Source organism: Homo sapiens, chromosome 16 (assembly GCF_000001405.40).
Source record: "Homo sapiens chromosome 16, GRCh38.p14 Primary Assembly".
Taxonomy (NCBI): Eukaryota; Metazoa; Chordata; class Mammalia; order Primates; family Hominidae; genus Homo; species Homo sapiens.
This window is the reverse complement of record NC_000016.10, coordinates 52,434,154-52,458,381: the sequence shown is the minus strand read 5'-3', so window position 1 is coordinate 52,458,381 and position 24,228 is coordinate 52,434,154. Positions and strand designations below refer to the sequence as shown.

The following is a 24,228-nucleotide window of genomic DNA, read 5'->3' as shown; positions in this document are numbered from 1 at the left end:
GTTCCTTTTATTCACAGCCCTTGTCGTCCTTTGCAATGGTTTCCTTTGCTTGCTTCCCATCTGTCTCCTCCCTACCAGAATAGAAGCTCCAGGAAGGCAAGTGCTCCTTGGGTCTGTTTGGTGTCGTCCCTGGGCCTGGAATATACTTGGCTTTCAATAAATATTTCATTTGTTCAATATATAAATTAATAAAAGGACAATGAAAGAACATTTACTTGTTATTAAGAGCATACTTAGACTGCTAAGTTAAAATGGAGGGGAGGGGGCTTGAAGTATCAACAGCTATAAAAAGTGGAATTGCTCTTTAAAATTTTAATTTAGGACTGAATAAAATAAGTGTGGAGTTGTCCCTTTGGTAAAACAAAGGCAGTTGCAGGGTACATGAGTAAACTACCATTAAGTGTTCATAATAAACTCTTGAAAATTTTATTTTGCCAAGAAACTATTAATTAACTTTAGGGAACACTGTTTTTTACAAAACTTTCATGGGTAGGTATGTCTGATTACAACCCTGAGAGTAGTTATTAAGTAAAAATGATCTATTTCAGTGCAGATATTTTGATGAGTATAAAGGTGGTGGTATGCAGGTCTGTAATTATCATTGGTATGCATTTGGCATTACTGTGTCAGGGTCCATTGGAGTTACAAAAGTAGTAGCTATGCATAACTATTTGATCGTTGTTAATTTGGAAATAAAATTTTAACATTGCTATAAGACATAACTAAATAATTGAAGATAAAATTACTGGCCTGCATTTCCTATTTGCAGTTAACTCTGATATTTATGAATACAAAGTAATTTTTATTGCTGATAATTGTTTAATTACTTCATTTCTCAAGAAATATTGATTAAAAACTGGCACAGTGAAAATATATTTAGTCACACTCTAATATATTTGGGTTAGTTGCTTCTTAATTGGATGTTATGCTCTATTTTGAAAACCTAATATTGGATCGTTATGGAGAATATTTCTGTGTAAGTATAGATAGAAGATGCATTAAACACATTTGCATATTAGAATTTAAAAAAATTTTAATGATGAAATCAACCCAAGTGTAAGTGCCATTGTAATAAGTATAAACACATAATATAGAATAATAATGTGTAATATTTACAATAAAATGTCAGGGTGAAAGCTTATATCTTAGATTTGCAAAAAGAAACAAAACAAAGCAAGACCGTAGTATGTATAGCTATGGACTACTAATTGTGCAGCACAAAGATAAATGTAGCACTGCTCCAGGTTTGAAAAAATGAGTGAAAAGGATTTAAATATGTAGAGTTTTCTCATTTAAGGAAATTAGAGCAAGTTTTATCCATTCTCTTCTCATATCCTGCTACCCTAAGACATATCTTCATATGAAGTACAAACATGATATTATAACATAGTGACTTACACAGTAAGGAAGTTTTTCACCTTTCAATTCTCTTTTAATCTTGATTAAGTCCAGGAGAAAGACTCAGTTTGGGGCTAATTAAGTCTTTCACACCTTTCTTTTGCCTTCTTAAGTTAAAGAAAGCAGAACTCAGGCCCAGAGCCTTAGGCAGGCCCCAGTATCCACACTGACTATAACAGTATTGTTTTCTTTTCCTGGTGTTTATTTGGCATTCTATTGGCCATGAGTGATTTTAATTTTTCATTTATGTTAGTGATCTAAAGTTTCCTTATTAATATAACATTATTCAGATTTTAACCGTTCACTCAAATGATTAATGTTCAATAATAGACTGGGTTTCAGGCAATTTAAGAAAATGAGGGATTGCTACCCAAAATATCCATTCATTGGATTTTTCCTGTTTAAAAAAGACAAAGAGGCTCTTTCATCAGGTGGAGAGAGAGGCGAGCCTCCGCCAGGCACTCCCCTACCCCCACCAAGGCATACAGAAACCAGAAGGCTTTGTTGAACACCACAGGCATGAATCATATAGGCCAATAGATAGAAGGCAATGCCCCTCCTATTAGTGAGAGCATTTTATGAGATCCATGGCCCACCCACTCTGAGTGACCTTCTGTGACTGCAAATGTTAATCTTTGGGTATTCTTCGAAACACAGATTGAGGTGGCAGGCTATACATTTATATTTAAACTAAATAGAAATGTCCGCAATTGATTTAGATGGGTTGGTTGTCCATGAGGTATGGTCAGTTAATATTTATTGCAATGAATAGTCCCACCAGATATATACCATGCTTTAAACTTTCAATGGCAGCCTTCTACACTGTGAATATAATCCAGACTTCCTAACCCAGACAATAAACCTTGTCACTTTATGGCCATGACTTGCCGTTCCAGCCTCATAGCCAGCTATGCTCTTCCTGGCCCAGTCACACTGGACTGTCATTTCCTTATCGGCAGTATGTTTGCCCATGCCCCAGGTTTGGGTACATGTTCATCTCTGTCTGGGATGCCCTGGCTTGGTTAGCTTCTACTTCCCTTTATACCTCAGCATAGTAGGTCACCTCTTCGGGGAAGCATCCCATGATTTCCCCACCTTACACAATGAGGCCAGTCTCTCCAAGCCTATTGCATTTCACCCTTTACCTTGCCTACCCTGCACCCAGCTTTCCTGTCCACCTTTTCATTTCTCAAGCATGTCAAGATCTCTCCCACTTCAGACCTTGCACATGCTGTTCCCTCTGCATGAGACATGCTTTTCCCTTCACTTCACAGTTGGCTTCTCCCCATCCTTCAGCATCAGCTCAAATACTATCTTTTTTGAGAGGCCTTTCCTATTGACCCAATCAAATGTAGCCATCCTTCCCCAATAACTCTCTTTTGTATAACCTATTTATTTTCTTCCCAATATTTATCACAGTTGGAATCTTGTTTATGTGGATGCTTTCTATTTTTAGGAAAAGAATATAAGCTTTGAACATTCACTACCTGCCTCCCCCAAGGAGATGATTTTTATGATATTTGTCTAATACAGTAATTTGCAAATGAAGGGGATTTTGACATTTGCTAATGTCTGTATACATTTTGGTTGTCACAGCCCGGTAGGGAAAGGGCGGCTACTGGTATCTAGTGGGTAGAGGCCAGAGATGCTGCTAAATATTCTATAATGTACAGAATGCCCCTCCCCCAACAAAGGATCATCCAGACCCAAATGTCAGTACCACTCAGGCTGAGAAACTCTTATCTAATATCGCCAATTAGAAGACAAAACGAGACAAGGCAGAGAGAATGAGTTTTTCCCAAATACTGAAAAATTTAGGAAACTATATAAAGGAACATTACATATAAAATGTAATTGTGAAAGGAGTTGAAAAAGCTACCAGCATTCAGCTCTTATTGTTGGTTATGATAGTGGGCAATCTCTTAGAACCCAATAGCTGCTTTGCCTTTAAATGATCACTGGTAAATCTTTCAGGACTTAATTTTTGTAAGTAAGAAGTAATATTAACAAAATCACATTAAATTTCTCTGGGCTATATTCATAGTTATACATTTCCTTATTGTGTCATTACTACTGGGAAAAATTGTGAGCAATTTTGGTGGGAGTATATAAAAATTATTCTGGCCTACATTATGTTGTAGTAAATTTGTTCATCCATTCAGGATTTTGTTTAATGTGTAAAATAATCGCATGGTAATTTCCTGGTTCTCAAAGATATAAGGTTTGATATATTGCCTTCTCTGGCCTGATACATAGTAGGGGCTCAGTAAATACTTTTATACTGAGCTGACATCTTCCTCTTTTTATGTGGTAGTCCTAAGATCAAGGGTAACATCTTTTAAAGGTTACTTTTATGGAAAATGATTGGAGCTGTTGAGGATCCTCAAGTTCCCCAAGGCAGTTGTTAATAATTTGTGGCCCTAAAAGAGCTTGAATTTCCAAAGAGACACTTTAGCCATTAATCGTCTTATACTATAATCTTCACTCATAGGAGGTGATTATGGGATAACTGTGAACCGTGGTGAGTGGTGGCACATTTTGATGCATCAATTATGTGGGTCAGAGGTTACTTTAAAAATAGTCTAGAGGCCCTTGGTATCTTGTCCAGTGGGAGATGGCATCTTTTTGGATCTGAAGACTATGTGGATGACTCTAAGTTTTGGCAAGGCCTTGGCCCCACCACCAGTACTCTTCAGGAGTGGTTTCCATACTGTCACACTGCAAAATAATCTTTTTTTTTTTTGTAATGAAATATTATGAGGAACCTCAATTTATAAAACAAATGGAAATGGAGTTGATTTTGTTAAAGGGGGATGATGGCAGTGGAGATCCCAGAGTCTTATTCATCTATCTCTGCCGGGACATGCCTCTACCGTGAAGATACCATGGCTCTCTAGGGCCCAGGTTTTCTGTCAAGCATTCACTAGCTAGCTTGGGGGCCTGGGGAATCATTCTTATCTGTCTAAGAATAAGTATAGTACTAGTATCTAATGCAGAAAGCAATCTAGGGGATTAAATTAGAAAGTGCATATTAAGCTTAGCACAAATGCTGGCTCATAGTAATAAACACACAGTAAAACTCCCTTTTTAGTACAGTGAACCTTGGCTGTCTATCAGCAGGAGCTCCCCAGCAACAAGATCCATAATAAAGGCATAAATTGCAGATGGAATTCAGGAAGGGCTGACAAAGCCAAGGAGACATGCTTGTGTTTGGCCATGATAGCCATCTGAAAAATGCTCTAGGTGTGGGGTGAGTCAATCGAGCACCTATATGTGCAAATTTTCACAGGCATTGGAGCAAAGAGAGCAAAGTAACTCTCTGCTAATGAGAAAACTGCATAAATCAGATGATCACATTTCATGACCATACCAGTTAACTAATTTAGTATTATACAGTCAGAATTAAAATACTTCATTTAAATGTGCCCTAGAATTTGCCTGTAGATACTTTAAAACATCTAGATTTAAATAAGATGGAAAGATTTTTAAAAAGCATTCTGGGCCGGGCACGGTGCCTCATGCCTGTAATCCCAGCACTTTGGGAGGCCGAGGCTGGCAGATCACTTGAGGTCAGGAGTTCGAGACAAGCCTGACCAACATGGTGAAACCCCGTCTCTACTAAAAATACAAAAATTAGCTGGGTATGGTGGTGCGTGCCTGTAATTTCAGCTACTCAGGAGGCTAAGGAAGGAGAATCACTTGAACCTGGGAGGTGGAGGTTGCAGTGAGCCGAGATGGCACCACTGCACTCCAGCCTGGGCAACAGAGCGAGACTCCATCTAAAAAAAAAAAAAAGCATTCTGAAAGACATATATGAAGACGAAAATTTAGAATAAGCTAGATGGCGTAATTACCAGTAGTGTGGGGGTGGAAGTTATGTCAGTGAGCAGTGGTTACACTTCAAGAGAACATGGAAGACTGAATAGATAGCTCAGATTTTCTAGGAGAAATGAGCAAATGTGGTAGAATTCCAATAAAAAAAGATAATTAGGATGAACAGATAACATAAAATCCACACAATCTGTAGAAAGACACCTGCAAGTAGAACGTAATATTGTAGGAACAACGAAGGAGAACACTGCCGGTGATATAAGGGAGTGTGGTGTTCTGATACTTGTGACACTTTCCTCCAGGATTTCACAGTAATTATTCGGAAATTATTAAGAAATGGGAAATGTATGTATTTAATATTCTAACACTTGTTGGCAGACTCTTTTAACCACTTGCATTATCTTCCTTTTTTTTCTGATTAAAGTGTTTTAGTTTTTGTTTACTTTTTTTTTCCATTTCTTTTTTTTATTATTATTATACTTTAAGTTTTAGGGTACATGTGCACAATGTGCAGGTTTGTTATATATGTATACACATGCCATGTTGGTGTGCTGCACCCATTAACTCGTCATTTAGCATTAGGTATATCTCCTAATGCTATCCCTCCCCATTCCCCCCACCCCACAACAATAGCAAAGACTTGGAACCAACCCAAATGTCCAACAACAATAGACTGGATTAAGAAAATGTGGCACATATACACTATGGAATACTATGCAGCCATAAAAAATGAAGAGTTCATGTCCTTTATAGGTACATGGATGAAACTGGAAACCATTGTTCTCAGCAATCTATCACAAGGACAAAAAACCAAACACCGCATGTTCTCACTCATAGGTGGGAATTGAACAATGTTTACTTTTGTATTGTGGTCACAGCTTATCAAAACAGCATACACATGTACGTAGAAAAAGTTGAAACTCTCCCCTCCTTGCCCCTCCCATTCTACCCCTTATAATGTAACCATTGTTAATGTTAGGATACACTTTTTTTTTTCCCAAAGAAAACAAGGCTGTCCTGTATAGTTATTTTTTAACTTGCCTTTTATGTACTGTATCTTGGGTAGGTTAGTGGTTCTCAACTGGGAGTGGTTTTGCCCCGCCTGGGGCAAAGTCTGGAGACATTTTTCATTGTCATGACTGGTACGGGGAGGGACGTTGTTAGCATCTAGTGGGAAGAGGCTGGGGATGCATCTGAGTACCTACAATATGCAGGACAAGCCCCCTCAATATGCAGGACAAGCCCTTACAATAAAAATTATCTGGTCCAAAATGTCAAGAGAGCTGAAATTGAGAAACTCTGCCCTAGGTCAATGCACATAAATCTAATTCATTATTTTTAAAAGCTTCATAACACTTTGACGTATGGGTAGACCATAATTTATTCAACTAGTTTTCTTTGATAGATCTTCTCATTGAGTGGCATTTATATATTTAATATGAAGAAACCAAATGCTCCAATTTAGTTATTTACAATTCATTCCGCTTCTTTAAAGAGCAAAAATAAGCCTTATCGGAAGGACTCAAAAAAGGAACAGTTAAGAATTCATAGGCTTGTGTATAAAATTAGATTCTGGGTCACTGTGAGTCAAGAGAATTTGGTTTCAGCAAAATCACAGACTCACTCCAAATGACATGTCTTAAAGTAAGTCATTTGAAAAACATGTCTTCATTTTTTGATTCTTTGGAATTAAAAAAAAATAGAGAATAAGCAGTAACAACTATAAGGCCTTTCTGTATGACTACCAAGAACAGAGAAAGCTGCATTTGAAGTAACTGCAATAAGTTTCAGAAAAAGCTATTTCTGATGGTTTCTACCATCTTTTTTTACGTATTTATGAAGAAATTCATTAGTACATTAAATCATGATGGATTGAACAAAAGAAAACAAAGTAAGTTTAAGTGAAAAAAGTGATATCCAATCCAAAAGACATTGAATGACTTCCAGATGCCGCTGACAATGTAATTCAGAATCGGAATGACCGTCTGGTTAACCACAGAGGATTTCACAGAAAGGGTGCCCTAAAGCAAACAGATGTTTGCTCTGTGAAACTAAAGCTCTATGCTTTGCTGGCCCATCCTCTGCGTGCCCTGTGCATTTCTGGGAGAATAAAATAAAGAATGGCTTCGCCTTCTCTCATAACAGCTACATGTTTGAGAAGGATGGTAAACTAATGGATGAGCCTAAATGGGTGCGGTCTCTGCTTCAGCCCTTTCCCTGCCACCAGTTTACTCAATAAGAAACAAGAGATGAAAGATTATATTTAGTTTTTCTAATTTCCTTTCTTCTTTTTTTCCTTCCTTCCTTCCTTCCTTCCTTCCTTCCTTCCTTCCTTCCTTCCTTCCTTCCTTCCTTCCTTCCACATCCACTGACAGTTCTATAATGAAATATTCTGTTCTGGATATTTGGATTTTGTGCTTCTCAACTTTCAACTTCTTGGCATGGGTCCTTATATTTAATAAATGAACGGAGACCATCATCCTGCAATAGGTCAGACCTATCAACATTGCAACAGTTCAAACCTATCTAAGGAGATGCTAACCTGATAAGTTCACTGATATCTGGAAAAGCTGAAATATTTTCCCCCTTTGTTGCTGCCTTTCTAGGATCAGAGCCACACACAAGTGTCCCAGTACCGGCAGGATCCCTCCCTGATCATGCGGTCCATCGTCCACATGACCGATGCTGCGCGTTCTGGGGTCATGCCTCCTGCCCAGCTCACCACCATCAACCAGTCTCAGCTCAGCGCCCAGTTGGGGTTGAATTTGGGAGGTGCCAGTATGCCTCACACATCTCCTTCACCTCCAGCAAGCAAATCAGCCACTCCCTCCCCTTCCAGCTCCATCAATGAAGAGGATGCTGATGAAGCCAACAGAGTAAGTTAGAACTGCCTTAGTGTGTAACCTGCCAGAGAATATGGGATTACCCCATGCTGTTTGAATTTCATTCATGGTGTTATCTTGTTTGTCTTCATGGATTTGGAGTAGCATTTAAATGTATGATGGTTTGTTGTTTTTCTTCACTCTTTCATTTATTTTCTGTAGAAAGTATATTGGACTGGAAATTGAGAGATCTGGCTTCTCCTACTATAGCTGTAAGGCATTGGACATGTTATTTAATTCTTGTAGGCCCAATTTTTCTAATCTGCAAAAGGAAGGCTTGGACTCCCTGCTACAAATTTCCAGAAATTCTAGACATTCCAGAAATTCTAAACTGCTCTGGTTCTAAGTTAATGTCCATGTGAGCAAGTTTCATCCAGTGTGTTGGTCAAGCTGCTGCCACATTTGACAGCCTTGCGGCTTCGGTGATGTTTATCGCTGAGTTCATTCTCTTCATCTTACATTTTTGCCTTTGTCATGGGAAATGTATAATTTGAAATGATACAAAGTTTGAAATAAAAACTGTGTTCCAGTATGACTTTTCCAAATGCTTAGAATGATGAAAAAGAGTACTGTAATAGTACATAATTACTCATTAGTCACTTATTAATTATGTGCTGTATACCTACTCTGTGCTTGGCATTTTGTTTGGTTCTTGTGATACAAAGATTTATAAGAGAATTACTGCTAATGAGATTCCCCTTTGGGGATGAATAGCAATGTTTAAAACTAGCTCCATATGTGATTAGTGATATAATTGATGTATCTGGTGTGCTGAGATTCTAATCGATTCTGCTTGGGAGAGTGATTTGAGGAAGACTTTACTGAGAAAGTGATATTTGAATTAGGTCTAAGAGGATGAATAAAAGTTTGTGAGGCAGAAGACAGAGGCCAGCATTTTGGTTGGGGGCTAGTGAGGAACAGTGGAAGTACATGCTATTTATGGGTATAGTGAAGTTCGATATGGGGGAAGAGAGAAATAGAAGTTGAAGAACGAAATGGCTTAAATGTGGTGGTCTTTCTTCTGTTGGTAGCTGAGAGCTGATTAATTATTTGCATCGAGGAATGGCATAAGTAATTTATGCTTTAGAGAGACAACTTTGGCTATATAGAGAATGCCTTATAAAGGGAGGGACCAAAGAAAAGGAAATTAATTAGAAGACTCTTTTGTTATGTTTCCTTTCATCAAGGGAGGGAATGAACAGAAGGTACCAGATTAGCAGGCATTTTAGGAGTGAAAATCATAAAGATTTTAAGGATTTGGTGATCCACTGGAATTTGAAGAAGAGACAAATTGGGTTTTAGTTTGAGAGCCAGAATGGCTATCAGCAAATGAGAGGAGCAACCCACAAAGAGAGGAGTGTTCTCCCCCATGGGGAACATGAGAGTTTGGGATGTTAGAGTTGAATTTGACGTGCTTACATTGGAGTCTAGAACTCAGTCATGGGGAACTGGAACTATAGATTTTGGGACCATCAGCACGTGGATGAGAAGATGTGAAAGTAATCAGGACTTCTCAGAGAGTATTAAGGAGTAAGTCAAGGACAGAACCCTGAGCATCATCTATTTCTAAGTAGCAAAAGGAAGAAGAGGAGCTAGAGAAGATTAAGAGTGATGAGGAACAGAGAAGGGAGGTTCAAGTGATGCTGCAGAAATTGAAGGGGTTTCAAGATGAAGGGTTTATTCTATAACATCATGTTAGCACCCCCATTGGGCCCAGGAATGGTAAATACACTGACAGTCTTCTCACAGTCACAGAACTTCAGTCCAGAGGATTGAGAAGTAATGGTTAAAGACTCTTGAGGGATATGATCAGATGGGGTTAGGTAACAGCTTAGCCATTACAGTTGAGAGGGATTCCTTTCCCTCCAATCACACGTCCGCTGATCTTCATACTTGCCACTGTACCATACTGAAATTGTCATGTCTTAAAGAGGACCTCTTATGGGACTCCTAGCTTGCTCCATTTTAAGCGAGGGTCTAGGTTTTGTGTAAAGGCAATACAGCCAATGTATCTTCATTGAATCTTAGCTGAGAAAGGAAGATTAAAACTATCATTGATTATGTCTCTTTGGGGTAAATCTTTTTCTCCAGCTTTCTGTCTCAACCCTTTTAAGTCAATGACACAAAAATTTCCTTAGGAGAATTAATTCTGAATTTTTGTTTAAAATGTGAGACTCCACATTTCTTGTTTATTCTTAAAAAATAATAATGATTAGGGCACATCATGGTTATCCAAGAAAGGCGTCAAAGGTGGTCGACATTTGAATATTGTTTTACAGAGAATGAAATTGAACTCCTCTTATTTGGAAAAAAAGCTACTCTGGAAAGTAATAGCAACTTGCCATTGGTCAGGGTATTGTGGCACTAACAGTGCCAGATTTTCTTCCAGGAGAAGAATATAGTTGTTTGACTCAACTAGAAAAATATGTGTGTCTGTATATAGTTTTTCTTGTTTAAATAATGTTTTTCATTGAAGGAAAACTTGGCTCCAGGTGAAGCTCTAACTGAAAGGCATCTGACTCTCTTGGAAATTCACATTCATTAAGTAGAATTAAACAAGTGTCACTTATTTTGAAAATTTAGAAAAAAGACTATGGGCTCTAGAGAATTATTGAATCAATTGTGTGAGTTATGAAAGATGGCATTTTGGAGGAGAAGTGAGATATGACTTAAAACCATCTGAAGCTTGTAAACTACTCAGATAAAGTGTGGATGCTGTTATCACTTAAATAGTGCAAACAGTAGGCTCACCTAGAGGTAGGCCAGTGGTTTCTTAACACTTTGAGTGTTCAGAGCTCTCTAAGAAAAGTTCCTTATCCGTTTCCTCCCTAAGAATTTTAGTAAATGGTAAAAATTTAGTGAAAGTTCCAAATGACCCTCATTTAGAAAGTAAATAATACTCTAGGAAAATTTGAATTAGAATTCAAGTCATTAAAAGCCTATCTGTTAGTAACTTGAATCTATCTTGGTTGATCTTGCCCAAGGCTGGCTTTGAAAACAGATTTTGTCAAACATTGCAGGATTCTTGATGAAGTTAACTGCAAAATTATCTTCGATATTGTAATCTAGGGGAATAAAACAAGGTTTACAAATCATTTCCCTGCTTCTCTGATAAGTATGTTAAATGATCAGTGAACTTAGATGGTGGTAGCTGGTGAGTATGGAGCTTAGTCATCTTTAAATTGGGAAACTATACCCATATCAGTTTGTGGTTCTGATCTCTCAGAGTTCATATGGTCAATGTGTGTGAGTCTCTATGGAGTATTCTTGTGAGCAGGGTTACTTGCCATAAATAACAAACATCTTCTTTTTAGTCTTCTTAGTGATTTTTAAGTATCAACTATTGCTCTTTTTTTTACACGTTTTTAATTTTACGGAGAGTATCAATTTCCCTTTTATCTCCACTTAAAGTAGTTTTGACATTTTTACATTTGCTGTTAATCTTCAGAAAATTATTTTTAGAAAATAAAGATGACCTTTTCCTAATGCTGCAAGTATAGAAATTGGAGCTAACTTCCATTTGAATTTCTGGAGAGCCATTAGCAAAGTAACATTCTGGTAAAATTAAAAAATCAGCCTCAAAAAAAAAAATCAATTCAGACAGATCACACATATGGCATGTGACTATGGCTAGGGACCTCATTTAAAATATTTGAATATGATCAACATCCTGAATATTATTTAGGTTTTACTTCTAAAACCTCTGAAGATATAAAATATTTTGCTGATGTATGTATGTGTAGTATAGCATATATATAGCATTGCCTGGTACAGAGTGTTCTGTTTTTCATTACTCATAATTGCTATTTCGAGCATATGTTGTGAACGTATTGAAGATACTTCTGGGTCTCATTAATCGATGTTCTAAATGCTAATCTCTGCTGTCTAGTTAACTCCAAGCAAGTTTACCCCTCCCCCGCTTTTGGTGGTGATTCATCTGTTGATGATGCCTAACAAAACCTTCAAAGAACAATTATGGATCTGAGTTAAGTCTTGTTGCATTCTCTGCAAGTACATTCTAGGCAGTGAATTTTCTTCCTGCTTTGCAGGCCATTGGAGAGAAAAGAGCTGCTCCAGACTCTGGCAAGAAGCCCAAGACTCCAAAGAAAAAGAAAAAGAAAGATCCCAATGAGCCACAGAAGCCAGTGTCAGCATATGCCCTGTTTTTCAGAGACACACAGGCTGCAATTAAAGGTCAAAACCCCAATGCAACCTTTGGAGAGGTCTCAAAAATTGTAGCATCTATGTGGGACAGCCTTGGAGAAGAACAAAAGCAGGTGAGACAAAGACCCATCAAGGCTCCATCAATAAACCTCATGATCATTTAAAATATTCCTCACACCTTTTCCAAGTGCATGTGTTCACTTAATATGATTGCTTCTTTTGAAATCCTTTTCTAAGCAATGGAATTTAAAAACCCAGACATATAAATCTAAACAACTCTCCAGTTATATTGATTTCTCTGTCAGCTTATGGGTGCATGTTCAGAACCCATTCAGAGGAAGGTTGGAAGAAATCCAGGCAGTATCCTGCAAGCATAAACTTTTGATGATAATCTTTTCATTTTAAATAATGTGGAATTTTTTCCCCTTTGTTCAAAAAGGGCACTACAAAGGGATTAGGTCCATCCTGCTTGCCTTTCCATTGATCATCTTTCTGAACCCTTGTGCTGTCCTGGTGGGTTTCCAAACTTTGAAGCTGCCTCTGCGTGTCTCATTATTGTCACCGGGCATTTGAAATTTTATTCCAAGTTCATTTTAAAGCAAGGCAGTATGAGAGGTATTCAGAAATTAGCCATGCTTGTGGGAGATACTTCCTTAGGGGCTTCGTCTCCTCTCCTTCCCCTTGCAACTCCTCCACACAAATGAAGGGAAGAATGGGTTCCTTGGGGGTCGATCCCCCCCTTACTCCTTGCATGAAACTCCAATTACCATTAAAAGAAGTTAACTTTTACATATCCACAGAAGAATAGATCAACTCCTATGAGTGATAAAATAGAATAATTGTTTTCAAGAATGAAGAGTGGAAAGTCCTTGATTTTGTTTACAAATCATGAACTTATTTCAGGAACTCATTCCTAGAAGCTTGTTTTGTTGGGAAGGTGCAACATTAGAAATTTCTTTTTAGTTTGCACTGAGTTTATTACTGTAGATAGCAGACTGATTTTCTGTCCCAGAAATATAATTCTGAGGGACTGGAAAAGTGCTGCACCTAACTTTTAAACTCTGGAGAGAAAGATGCATGTTGACTGAACACCCAGCCATCAGACCACTTAGGAAAAGGAGAAGCCCAAATCATGTTTAATATGCTGGAATTTTATTTATGTAACTCAGTGGGGTCACTAATGGAAATCTCCTAGCTTGGATGATTTCTGACTTTTAATTTTGCTCCAAAAGAAAACCAACATTGAAATGCTTTGCTCTTTTCTCTTCTGTCTTCATCATTTTACCTGTTGTTTTTATCCTCTTGTTTGGTATAGTTTAGAAAGGTATCTGAGGGAAAGAAGACATTGATGGAGAAACTCATTATTTTCTCTAAAGTAAGCCATTTGCAGCAAAGCTTATTCTTCTTGCTACCTTATTTATTGCCTTAGCATGAGGTTTTCAGCTGTTCTCAAGAAAAAGTGATTCTCAAGTAATCTGTATTGCATCCAGAAATCTTTTTCTTATTTGCAATAGTAAATATAAAAATTGTGCTCCAGTGAGGGTGGCAGGGTTCTGTTTTGTTTTAATATCCGTGTGTGTGTGTGTGTGTGTGTGTGTGTGTGTGTGCATGCGCTAACATTTAAAAATCAAAGCCAAGGAGACCAACCTTTTTATGTGAGTTGTGTTTATGTGACCTAATTTGTGCAGCAGCTATTTTATAGCTGAGAATTTATACGCTAAAGGTGGTGCTAATTGTGGTCTTTTAATAGGTATATAAAAGGAAAACAGAAGCTGCCAAAAAAGAATACCTGAAGGCCCTGGCGGCATACAGGGCCAGCCTCGTTTCTAAGGTAAACCTGGGCAGGGGCGGCCAGGCTCCAAAATAGTCACAGCGTGGAAAACAGCCCTCAAGCATTGAAAACATACTTGTAGCTCCCCTAAAAGTTGATGGAAAGGCATCTTGAACAACTTGTAAACTTAGGCGTTTCCATTAGAGATTACCCAAGTGATGATCTGAAAATATGAGTTAATTTAAGCAGCTGAGTCTAAGTTGTTTCTGAAAGATTTCCCTGATCTTTATATATGTGTATGTAGCTATATACATAAATTTTAAATAGGCTCTTATGCTTTCTTCTGGTCAGGGATTGGGACCTGTGCTAGTGTCCTCTGTTTAAACTGGGAGGTATGTTTGTCAGGCATTTTTGGACATCATATTATAAATTCTCCTGTGGTTATATTACTACAATTGGGGGGCATTGCATTTTTGACCAAACTGTTCCATATCATATAAATAAATAAACCTCATGATCATTTAAAATGAAATTATACTCCAAGTACTAAACAAAACCTACATGTATTATATAGAGAGTATACAGTGGACCCTGGTGTGTTATAAAATATCCCAATATCCCAAGCAAATGTCACTCTAGCAAATGAATCCAAAGGAATATGAGCTAATACATGATATTAACATTTAATTAGCTTTTTCTCTTGCCTTTCTAGATTTTAGAGGTTTTGGAAAGGATAATTTGATCTAATATATTTTTGCTCTAGACAAATTTTTTCTGACAAGTAGGGATACAATTTCATTGTCACTGTTGCTGTCTCAAGTACAACCTAGGGTCTCAAAGCCATTTAAAAAGGGTTCATTCCTTTTTTTCTCTTTTCACCTGAGTTGCTTCTTCTTTATATTATCTGTATTAAGTATTTGTATCAAGATCTACCATTTGCAGCTGCTCAGAATCAGATCAACAGAGGTCCTCCTCTCTTTGCTGACAGCTATTAGGACACTTCCCACTTCATTAGATAGATAAAACATTTATCAGGTCAATAGCAAAACCTCTTTCTCAGACTCTGGAAGACACATACTGGAAGATATACTGATGTTGTACTCAGACTTGCACATTGGCAGAAAACAGCTGACTGTGTGGGCTGCAGATGTTAAGAATTAAAGTATAGTTGGTTAACTAGATGGAGTGAAGTGAATAGAGTAACAGTGTGCATGTACTTCTTAAGTGAATCATTTATTCATTCATTTATCCAGAGCAGGTATAGGTGATTTTGTGCATTAAAGCATGAATAATTGACCGTATATGGATTTAAACCAAGATCCGGTATCTCAAAAGGCATTCAGGGAATATTAACCATGATTGGGCTCATGAAGCCTGTGACTGACTTAGAGGGGATAACTTAAAACTTACACATTGCATACTAGAATCAGGATTCAGAAATACTTCCAGGTAGAATTCAATGACACCAAAAAAGAGAAAAAAAATCAATAGGATAGAATTTAGAAGGAATAAATTTAAAATACTAGGGTTTGGTTTGTTTGTTTTTTAATTCAGTAAATGCACTTTGAGAGGATCCTAAATCTCTATTCAAAGAACTGTGAGGCAACTAATATAGTCCTTTAGGTATAAGTTTAGAATAATTTCAGCCTGAACCCAAACTGTGAAGTAGCTGCTAATATAGTGATCGCACAGGAAGCAGCATTGAATTGTACAGTGATTATTAGACCGCTTCTAAAGAATTGGTTCTGTTTTGGATCCCACAGTTTAAAGAGAGATGACAATCAATTGATGTCTCTCTAGAGCATTGCCTCCACGATAGTGAGGACTGAAAATCACATCATGTTAGAATAACTGAAAGAATCAGGGAGGCAAGGACTTGGAGGCATATGATCTTAGTCCTCAAATATAAGGGCCGTTATATAAGGGAAATGAAGTCGATCTTTGTGCCCAAGAGAGGAGAACTCATCCAAGGGGTGAGCTTACAGGGAGTGAGAGTTCAGCCCCAGCATCAGAAATATCAATAGGGTTGCATCATATGCACATTTAACTTATGCCTCTGCACGCAGAGCCTCAGACCTCCCCCCTTAAGATACGACTCTGCTATCACTTTTAATCTTTACAATAACCAAAGAAATTCATGGAAGCTTACTATTAAGCCATAAAGGAACAAGAAGGCAGGCAAGGAAGAACTCTGTGCAATCATCCACCCATCTCCATTTACCGTTAAGGCAGCATCTTAAAGGCACAATAGTGCAACTGAGCTGCCCAGGTGTTGAAATACAGACTTTCTTTGTGTTTTTTTCTTTAAGACAGCTTGTTAATTTTTAACTACTAGAGTATATAAGAATTATGTACATGTTTATTGTGTGTATTCAACTTTATGGGTGATTTAATGGTTTTTTGAAGACAAATTTGAATATTTATAGGCTGCTTCTTACCCTAAGACCTTAGAACATGACGGTTCAGGAACATGCAGCCCCACTGAGTTTTGTAATGTGGAGAGCTGCCCACTGAAGGGGAGTGCCTTATAATGATGACATGTGTTCAAACAGAAAACATCAGAGATGGCTTTTCCTACACTGGATGACTCTCTATATGAGGTTACATCTCAGTTTGTTTCCAACAGCAGGATTTTATAAATCGGAGTCATAAAAATTTAGAAATATAAAATTATTGAAGATAATGGATGGCTGTTTGATGTCTCCTAGGTGCCCCTACAACACACCCCCAAAAACATCCTAATCAAATGAAAAATACAAGGAAAAAATCGTCTCTGGAATGAATCATTCCAATCACTGTTGCATTAGTGGAAGAATTTCTTTTTGTAGAGGCAGTGAAGTGTTTTTAGTACAAAATGTAATAGATAGTTTCTCTCTATGTTCAGCCCTAGATCTGCTGTTTATCTTTTAACAGGTGATTTGGTCCCATGAAGTTGAACATTTTCCCCTTATCTATGACTCCTTTGATAAATTCTACAAATCTTCAAAAATAGTTGATGAACTAAAACATTTCTAAAATTGTGAAAACTTCAATTTGGTATCTCTGAGGAAACCAATAATGGTTTTCTTATACTTGAGTGAACCTTGTTATAAATAATCACACAACACAGGGCTTTCAAGTATTCCAGTGGCCATTTTCTGGTAATAGTAACTGTTAACTAATAAAAATAGCTAATATTTATTGCTTCCTATGGACCAGGCGCTTTCCTAAATGCTTAACATGTGAGTTCATTTAATTCTCACAACCTCTGCACAAGAAAAATACCATATAACCTGGCCAGGGGTAGTGGCTCACGCCTGTAATCACAGCACTTTGGGAGGCCGAGGTGGGCAGATCACGAGGTCAGGAGATCAAGACCATCCTGGCTAACATGGTAAAACCCTGTCTCTACTAAAAAATACAAAAAAATTAGCTGGGTGTGGTGGTGGGCACCTGTAGTGCCAGCTACTTGGGAGGCTGAGGCAGGAGAATGGCACAAACCCAGGAGGCAGAGGTTGCAGTGAGCTGAGATCGCGCCGCTGCACTCCAGCCTGGGTGACAGAGAGAGACTCCACCTCAAAAAAAAAAAAAAAAAAAAAAAAAAGAAAGAAAGAAAAATACCATATAACCCAATGTTACAGATAAGGAAACAGGAACAGATGAGTAAATTAACTTGCCCAATGTCACAAAGTTGTTAAGTCAGAGAACTGCATTTGAACTCAGGCAGCCTGTACTCTGTTGTCTTTAAACATATGGTACTCAATGGTAAAGTCGTTAGTACAGACTTAAATGCAGAAGAATTGTTGCTCTTAAATATGTGTATCGGTTATCTTTTGCCACAATAGTGCTGTGTAACAACCATCCCCAAAGCTCAATGATGTGATGTAAGATGAGCATTTATCCTCAGAGAGTGCCAGTTAGCTGACTGGTTCTTCAGATCTAGGCCAGGATTGGTAGAACCAGCTAGTCTTGCTTTTCTGTCTGGGGTCAGCTTGCATGTTGGAGGGGGCTGGACTCATTCACATTGATCACAGTTGGCTGGCTGGCAGTGAACTGACTCTTGAGGGGGGTAATTGGGCCACATGTCTGTCATCATGCACATGGCAGGGGCAGGCTTGAAGCCTCGTCTTGGAACTGGAGCAGTATCACTGTCATCACATTCTGTTAGCCAAAGCAAAGGCACAAGAGCAGCCCAGACTCAAGGAGGTAGGGGATTTGACTCCACCTCAGGGAGGAGTGAAAAAGTCACAAGACAAAGAGTACACATACAGGAGGGCATGAATAATGGTGGCCGTTAAAAAAAATCAATTTATAATATCTAAAAATGCTTAAATATTTTAAATACTTATGTGTTGTAACAGTCTGGAATTTTCTCCCCCAAAATGCAGGCTGCTGCTGAGTCAGCAGAAGCCCAGACCATCCGTTCTGTTCAGCAGACCCTGGCGTCGACCAATCTAACATCCTCTCTCCTTCTCAACACTCCACTGTCTCAACATGGAACAGTGTCAGCATCACCTCAGACTCTCCAGCAATCCCTCCCTAGGTCAATCGCTCCCAAACCCTTAACCATGAGACTCCCCATGAACCAGATTGTCACATCAGTCACCATTGCAGCCAACATGCCCTCGAACATTGGGGCTCCACTGATAAGCTCCATGGGAACGACCATGGTTGGCTCAGCACCCTCCACCCAAGTGAGTCCTTCGGTGCAAACCCAGCAGCATCAGATGCAATTGCAGCAGCAGCAGCAGCAGCAACAACAACAGATGCAACAGATGCAGCAGCAGCAACTCCAGCAGCACCAAATGCATCAGCAAATCCAGCAGCAGATGCAGCAGCAGCATTTCCAGCACCACATGCAGCAGCACCTGCAGCAGCAGCAGCAGCATCTCCAGCAGCAAATTAATCAACAGCAGCTGCAGCAGCAGCTGCAGCAGCGCCTCCAGCTGCAGCAGCTGCAACACATGCAGCACCAGTCTCAGCCTTCTCCTCGGCAGCACTCCCCTGTCGCCTCTCAGATAACATCCCCCATCCCTGCCATCGGGAGCCCCCAGCCAGCCTCTCAGCAGCACCAGTCGCAAATACAGTCTCAGACACAGACTCAAGTATTATCGCAGGTCAGTATTTTCTGAAGACGCATATGGCAGACGGATTTGCGTATACCAAGGAGAGTGGCATAGGAGGGAAAAGCATATGTGGCTGAAACCTGTAAGTTGGTGTTGGTTATGCAGAAATGTGTAACAGATCAAACGGTCCTCTCAAGTGTCTATTAGATAGGCAATAAGAACTGCAGTGTAGCTGAGTAACATCTTTTAGCTGACTATAAATCACTTTGTTTTTAAACAAGAAAAGCTGTGCTCTTTTATGTGATGCCTTTTTTATTTATTCAGGCTATACCTACAATATGTGAATCAAACTGTTTAATGAATCCTGGGACATACTGATGACTATAAACTGGCCTCTCTGAGTCATAGAAAAATGGCCTTATTTCTCCAGAAGTGAGTAAACCACACTTCCAGGCTATCTGAACTCCTGAAGCCCTAAAAATAAAAAGCACAGTTGTAACTACCTGAAATATGAAGATCCAGTTTCATACAAACATTTGTATGACGTGAATAGTTGATGGCATTTTTTTGTCATGAAAAAAATAATGTAAATCACAGACTTTTGCCAAAGCTCTTATTTTTTTTCCTAAATCTCTCCAGAAAAAAAATGCAAGTGACTAAATTCAATTATTGACTAATTTCCACTTTTTATCCATGACTTCTCCAAATCAAACCACAGTATATGTTGTAACAATATCTATGACCACTGTTAGCCCATTATATTCATTCCAATTAGAAGAAATGTGAATACTATATTCCGTGTTTTGAGTGACAAGTTTCGAAAAATAAAAACACTGTATTTTTAAAAGGGAAATGCACTTAAATGAAAACAGTTATTACAAAAGTTAAGATTTAAAAAGAAAAAGCAAGAGTTTTTATTATGATGTAATACCAGTAGAATATTTAAAAGGCACACCACATCTGAATAATCAATGTAAATATTTTCTTTCAAAGTTGTAAGTTTTCATATCATGTGCTGTAAAGTTTTCCTAAATGAGGCTTTAACGTAAACACTGGTGACATAAACCATTCATTGCTACGTTGCTTATTGTGTTTTTATGCTGTTTTATACTTTTTTATGAGTTATGATAGCAGCAATTAAGTTGTTTGTATTTTGCTTAACTAAAACAAAAATGCTTTTATCTTGCTATAGAATAAACACATTTCAGTAAAAACTGTGGACTGTATTTTGATGCAACAACAAAGAAACTGTTCACTTTTCAAATAAAATGATATGTCAGATTTCATTTTTGGTTCCTTGAATACATGTAAGATGGGGAAATATGCCACATACCAAGTTTCGTTTTAGCCCAAACATCATCTTCCATTTTTCAATTGGAAATATGATATTTATGGCCAAGAATATGCATTGCATAGCCTGAAATGAAGATCCTTGAAAAAACCAAAACAACGCATTGGAAATATTTGTGTAATTGTCTTTTTTTTTTTTTTTTTTTTTTTTAAGATGCAAGTACAAGGTAAGTATAGAGAAAAAAGTAATCGCTTTTTTGAGGGGGCTAGAACTAGCTGGGTATTGTAATGTTATTGCGATTAAAATAGATGGTGAATGCTAATTCTTAAGCCAAAATAATTATTTCGGTGCCCATTTATTCCCCCCTTTTCTTGCTCTGTAGCGGTTCCTCTTTGAGAGCAGTGTGACCACTATCCCCAGTTGTCTTGCATGATTAATTACAGCATCTGTCCTGTCAGAAGCTATAATGAAGAGGTCTTGATAAAAATTGCAAATTACCACTGGCAACAGTCTTAAACTGCTTATGATAAAATGAAAATTAAAAACAGCAAGTGTCAACCCTGACCAGAATCCTAATCTGGAAAGAATGAGGGTGTGCGTGGTGCGCTCCACAGCTACTATGTGCAAGACATTCAAAAATAATGGAATATGGATCCCTCAAAGTTGTTGTATTTCAGAGATTATTTACTGTATGTTGTGGGTTATGAATAATGAATTCAGCTTTCAATATTTCATAATCCTCTCCTACTCTGTATTATGTACAAATATTGAACAGCAAGAGATTCTAATTATAAATTTATGGATTTCTTGCTGTAGAAAAATTTATGTCTAAATTGAAGCTTTTCATAAGATGTATTAGTTGACAGGTATCAGTGTTCAAACAGCCTTAGAATGATGCCTAATTACATCTACAAGGGAGTGATTGTATTCCACAAAGAAATGATGTGCTAGCATCAGATCCTTCAGAAGTAGAGCTCGAATGGTAAAAGATTTTCTGTGAATTGAAACTAACATTACATAACAATAACCATTTTATATTCTGTTGTGAAACCTTTAGACAGATGTCTTCAAAATTAATTGCTAAACTACATGTGACAGTAATTGTGTATTAGTTCTGTAATTGTCATTTTGAAAACCCATGAAGTATTGCTTGGAAAAAAATGTCACTAGTGATAAGACTTAATTGCAAGTGAAGTCTGTTTTCAACTGTTTGCAGTTAGAAGCAGGTGTTGTAACATCTATTAAATGATTTTATAAATCTTGGGTTTTATCACATTTGATTAAATGCTGCTAAGCCACTGATGGTCAATTCCAGAGGAAAAAAAAAGTTTAATGACTACAGTTTATAAAATTAATCACCAGGCAAAACTACATATTTAAAATGTCAAAAGGCTTGAATCATGAAAAGAATTCCTCAACCTTGTTACCAAATTATTGTTTTCAGGATTCACAAAGCATGTTATATATCCATTTATATTTCAGTTTATACATATGACTGGTTTCTATTCCTGAGACTTAAGTAAGTACTTGGTGCGCTTTTTCTTTTGTTACAGGTCAGAAATAAATCAGGATAATGAAAAATAGACATGAGAAATGTGGTATCTGATTAGTGTCATATCTAAATGGCCTAAATGCCTTCCCTCTTAAGTGGTCTACAGACACCCCCCCCCACCCCCACCACCTCCATTTCTCTCTCTCTCTCTCTCTCACACACACACACACACACACACACACACACACACACCCCTTGTCTCTCCCAATGCCATGTAGACATTATTTTATTACTCTGGCTAAACATGTTCTCTCTTTGCATTAACCTGTACTGCTGTATGATGAAAGAACATAAGGCATTTTCATTTTTAGCTGACAAGGGGTCATTAGTTCCCGAGTCAGAGAACAAAAGCTTAAATGCCTTCGTGCAGCATAATTTCTGCAATATATTACCACCTGATGGAGGTTTGAAGGCTTTCTAGACAGATGGATTAATATCTCAAGTTTAAGTAGAAGTCCTCCACTGTGTCCATTCAGTGAGCTTTAGACATCTGAATGGTTTCTTTCCCATTTCTCACTTCATGGAGCATTTTTCAGCACTGGACTTCAATATAACCTTTCCTCCCCGCCCCCGCCAACCCCCCTTTGTTTGGCTTTTGTTTTGCAACAGCTGTTATTATCGTTTTTGGTCAGCTGTGATTGCTGGAGGCAAAATAGGACCAGATGGTGTTTTGCTATGCATGAATGGAGAGTTAGAGGAGTTGGGATTGAATAGGCCAAGTTTGAATGGTGTCTATGCACCACCTGCCTGCCTTAGATGTGGCGTACACATCACAGTAGCATGATCCGTCTCAGACCTACTAGAATCGGATGGGAAAGTGGAGAGCTGGGGTGGCTTTTCCTCATATTTATTGATCTTCCATGCACTAACAGAATAATGCAGTGTACAGTCAATTTGAGATAATTGGATATGACACAGCATGGACATGTAATCTATCACTCCAGAATTCTGGTTCACTTTAAGGATCTGACTGCTCTCCCAAATACACGCACACACACACACACACACATGCATACACACACACACTCATTCACTCAGTAGTAGCAAAAAATGGGCTAAGTAGGCGCAAGTTAAAAAAATATATAAAATAGACTTTTAGGAGTCTGAGGTTTTGGGAAGGGAAGACGTTGAAAAATGTGAATGCAAAGTGAAGAAAACCTGGTATTAATAGAAAGCCCTCATATTTGTACATTATTCTTCAGGTATTACACATTTATAAAAAAATGTGCTAAAGAAAATCAAACAGATATACAACCAGACTTGAATTCTCTTAGAAAATATTCTTAAATATATAAATGTTTTCTCCCCATCCCCTCAAATGCAGTTAGCTTTACTGATGATCTGAACTGACCTCAGAATAAAGACTTTCCCTGAATTTTAAAGCCAGTGAGCGGGTTTAATCCTTGTAGATTGTGATCCTACAGGTGTATGGGTTGTGTGTGTGTGTGACTGAGGAAAAGCTTAACGATCCAGGAGACAACGGCATCAGATATGCAGACAGACAGCTCCATTTGCCTAAGGCTCTAATTACTTAAATTTACCTCTGCTACATGCAAAACACTGTGATAGGTCCCAAAGAGATGCAAAAACAAACAGTGCCTTCTGTTTATTTTGTATATGTTTGAAATTTTTCATAATAAATGTTTAAAAAATAAAATAATAAAAGAAAGCCATTCTGACCTTTAGGAGCTTTCATTTTTTATTGGGGTGGAAAAGATACCCACCAGACACAATGATCTGTGTACCCATAAGAGCCATTTTTAAAGTGTGTTTTTTAATCTGAGAAAATTAAAATGTATTTAGAAAAGGGAGAGATTGCCATTGGTTAGGGGTATTAAGGAAAGCTACATGAAATTATGGGCATTTAAGATGTGCCTTGGAGGTTGTGTAGGATCTGAACAGGCCAAGATAAAAGTCATCCTGGTAGATGTAGAAGACATCTCCCGCCAAGGGGAGAGCAGAGAAAATCCATTCAGGTTGAAAACACAGGCACCTCAAAACAGCAGAAGAGAATCAAACAAAATTGGACAAACAGCTTTTGTGGAGGTGAGTAGGAAAAGCACTGGAGAGGAAGTGTGGGGTCAGATTTGTAGAAGATCTGCTGGGGAATTATGATGAACTCAAAAAGCACTGAAGGCATCCAAATAAGGCAGGTATGATGAGAATTAATTGAATGCATGAAGGCTGAAGGGTTTAATCTATTTTTTTAAGGGAGTGTCCAGGGGACACCGAAAGCTGAAAGAAAAGTGGAACAAGATGACCACTTGAAAATGTATCTCAATATTTAATTATTC

General features: G+C 38.0%; 1 protein-coding gene across 5 annotated transcripts in view, besides 3 other annotated features; it reads left to right on the top strand.

Moving 5' to 3' along the window:
• The window catches only part of TOX3 (TOX high mobility group box family member 3), a 111,387-nt gene extending 89,421 nt beyond the window's left edge, over window positions 1-21,966 (top strand). For 4 of the 5 annotated variants that reach the window (NM_001146188.2, XM_005255892.4, XM_047433909.1 and 1 more), the window contains 4 exons: window positions 7,836-8,105; window positions 12,161-12,388; window positions 14,026-14,106; window positions 18,414-21,966. In NM_001146188.2, the coding sequence (NP_001139660.1) occupies window positions 7,836-8,105; window positions 12,161-12,388; window positions 14,026-14,106; window positions 18,414-19,157 (1,323 nt within the window). In that variant the 3' untranslated portion in view covers window positions 19,158-21,966. The remainder of the gene's footprint in view (window positions 1-7,835; window positions 8,106-12,160; window positions 12,389-14,025; window positions 14,107-18,413) is intronic. The other variant, NM_001080430.4, reaches the window with a different exon arrangement.
• Window positions 18,367-18,867: an enhancer, noted in NCBI's record as "H3K4me1 hESC enhancer chr16:52473427-52473927 (GRCh37/hg19 assembly coordinates)". NCBI's record gives its function as "activates a minimal SCP1, AML or CMV promoter by ChIP-STARR-seq in naive H9 embryonic stem cells {active_cell/tissue: H9 hESC(naive)}" and the evidence as "EXISTENCE:reporter gene assay evidence [ECO:0000049][PMID:30033119]".
• Window positions 18,868-19,368: an enhancer, noted in NCBI's record as "H3K4me1 hESC enhancer chr16:52472926-52473426 (GRCh37/hg19 assembly coordinates)". NCBI's record gives its function as "activates a minimal SCP1, AML or CMV promoter by ChIP-STARR-seq in naive H9 embryonic stem cells {active_cell/tissue: H9 hESC(naive)}" and the evidence as "EXISTENCE:reporter gene assay evidence [ECO:0000049][PMID:30033119]".
• Window positions 20,532-23,765: an enhancer, noted in NCBI's record as "VISTA enhancer hs1300". NCBI's record gives its function as "enhancer in: neural tube[11/14] | hindbrain (rhombencephalon)[11/14] | midbrain (mesencephalon)[11/14] | dorsal root ganglion[9/14] | forebrain[11/14] | limb[9/14] | trigeminal V (ganglion, cranial)[8/14] | cranial nerve[9/14]" and the evidence as "EXISTENCE:transgenic organism evidence [ECO:0001131][PMID:17130149]".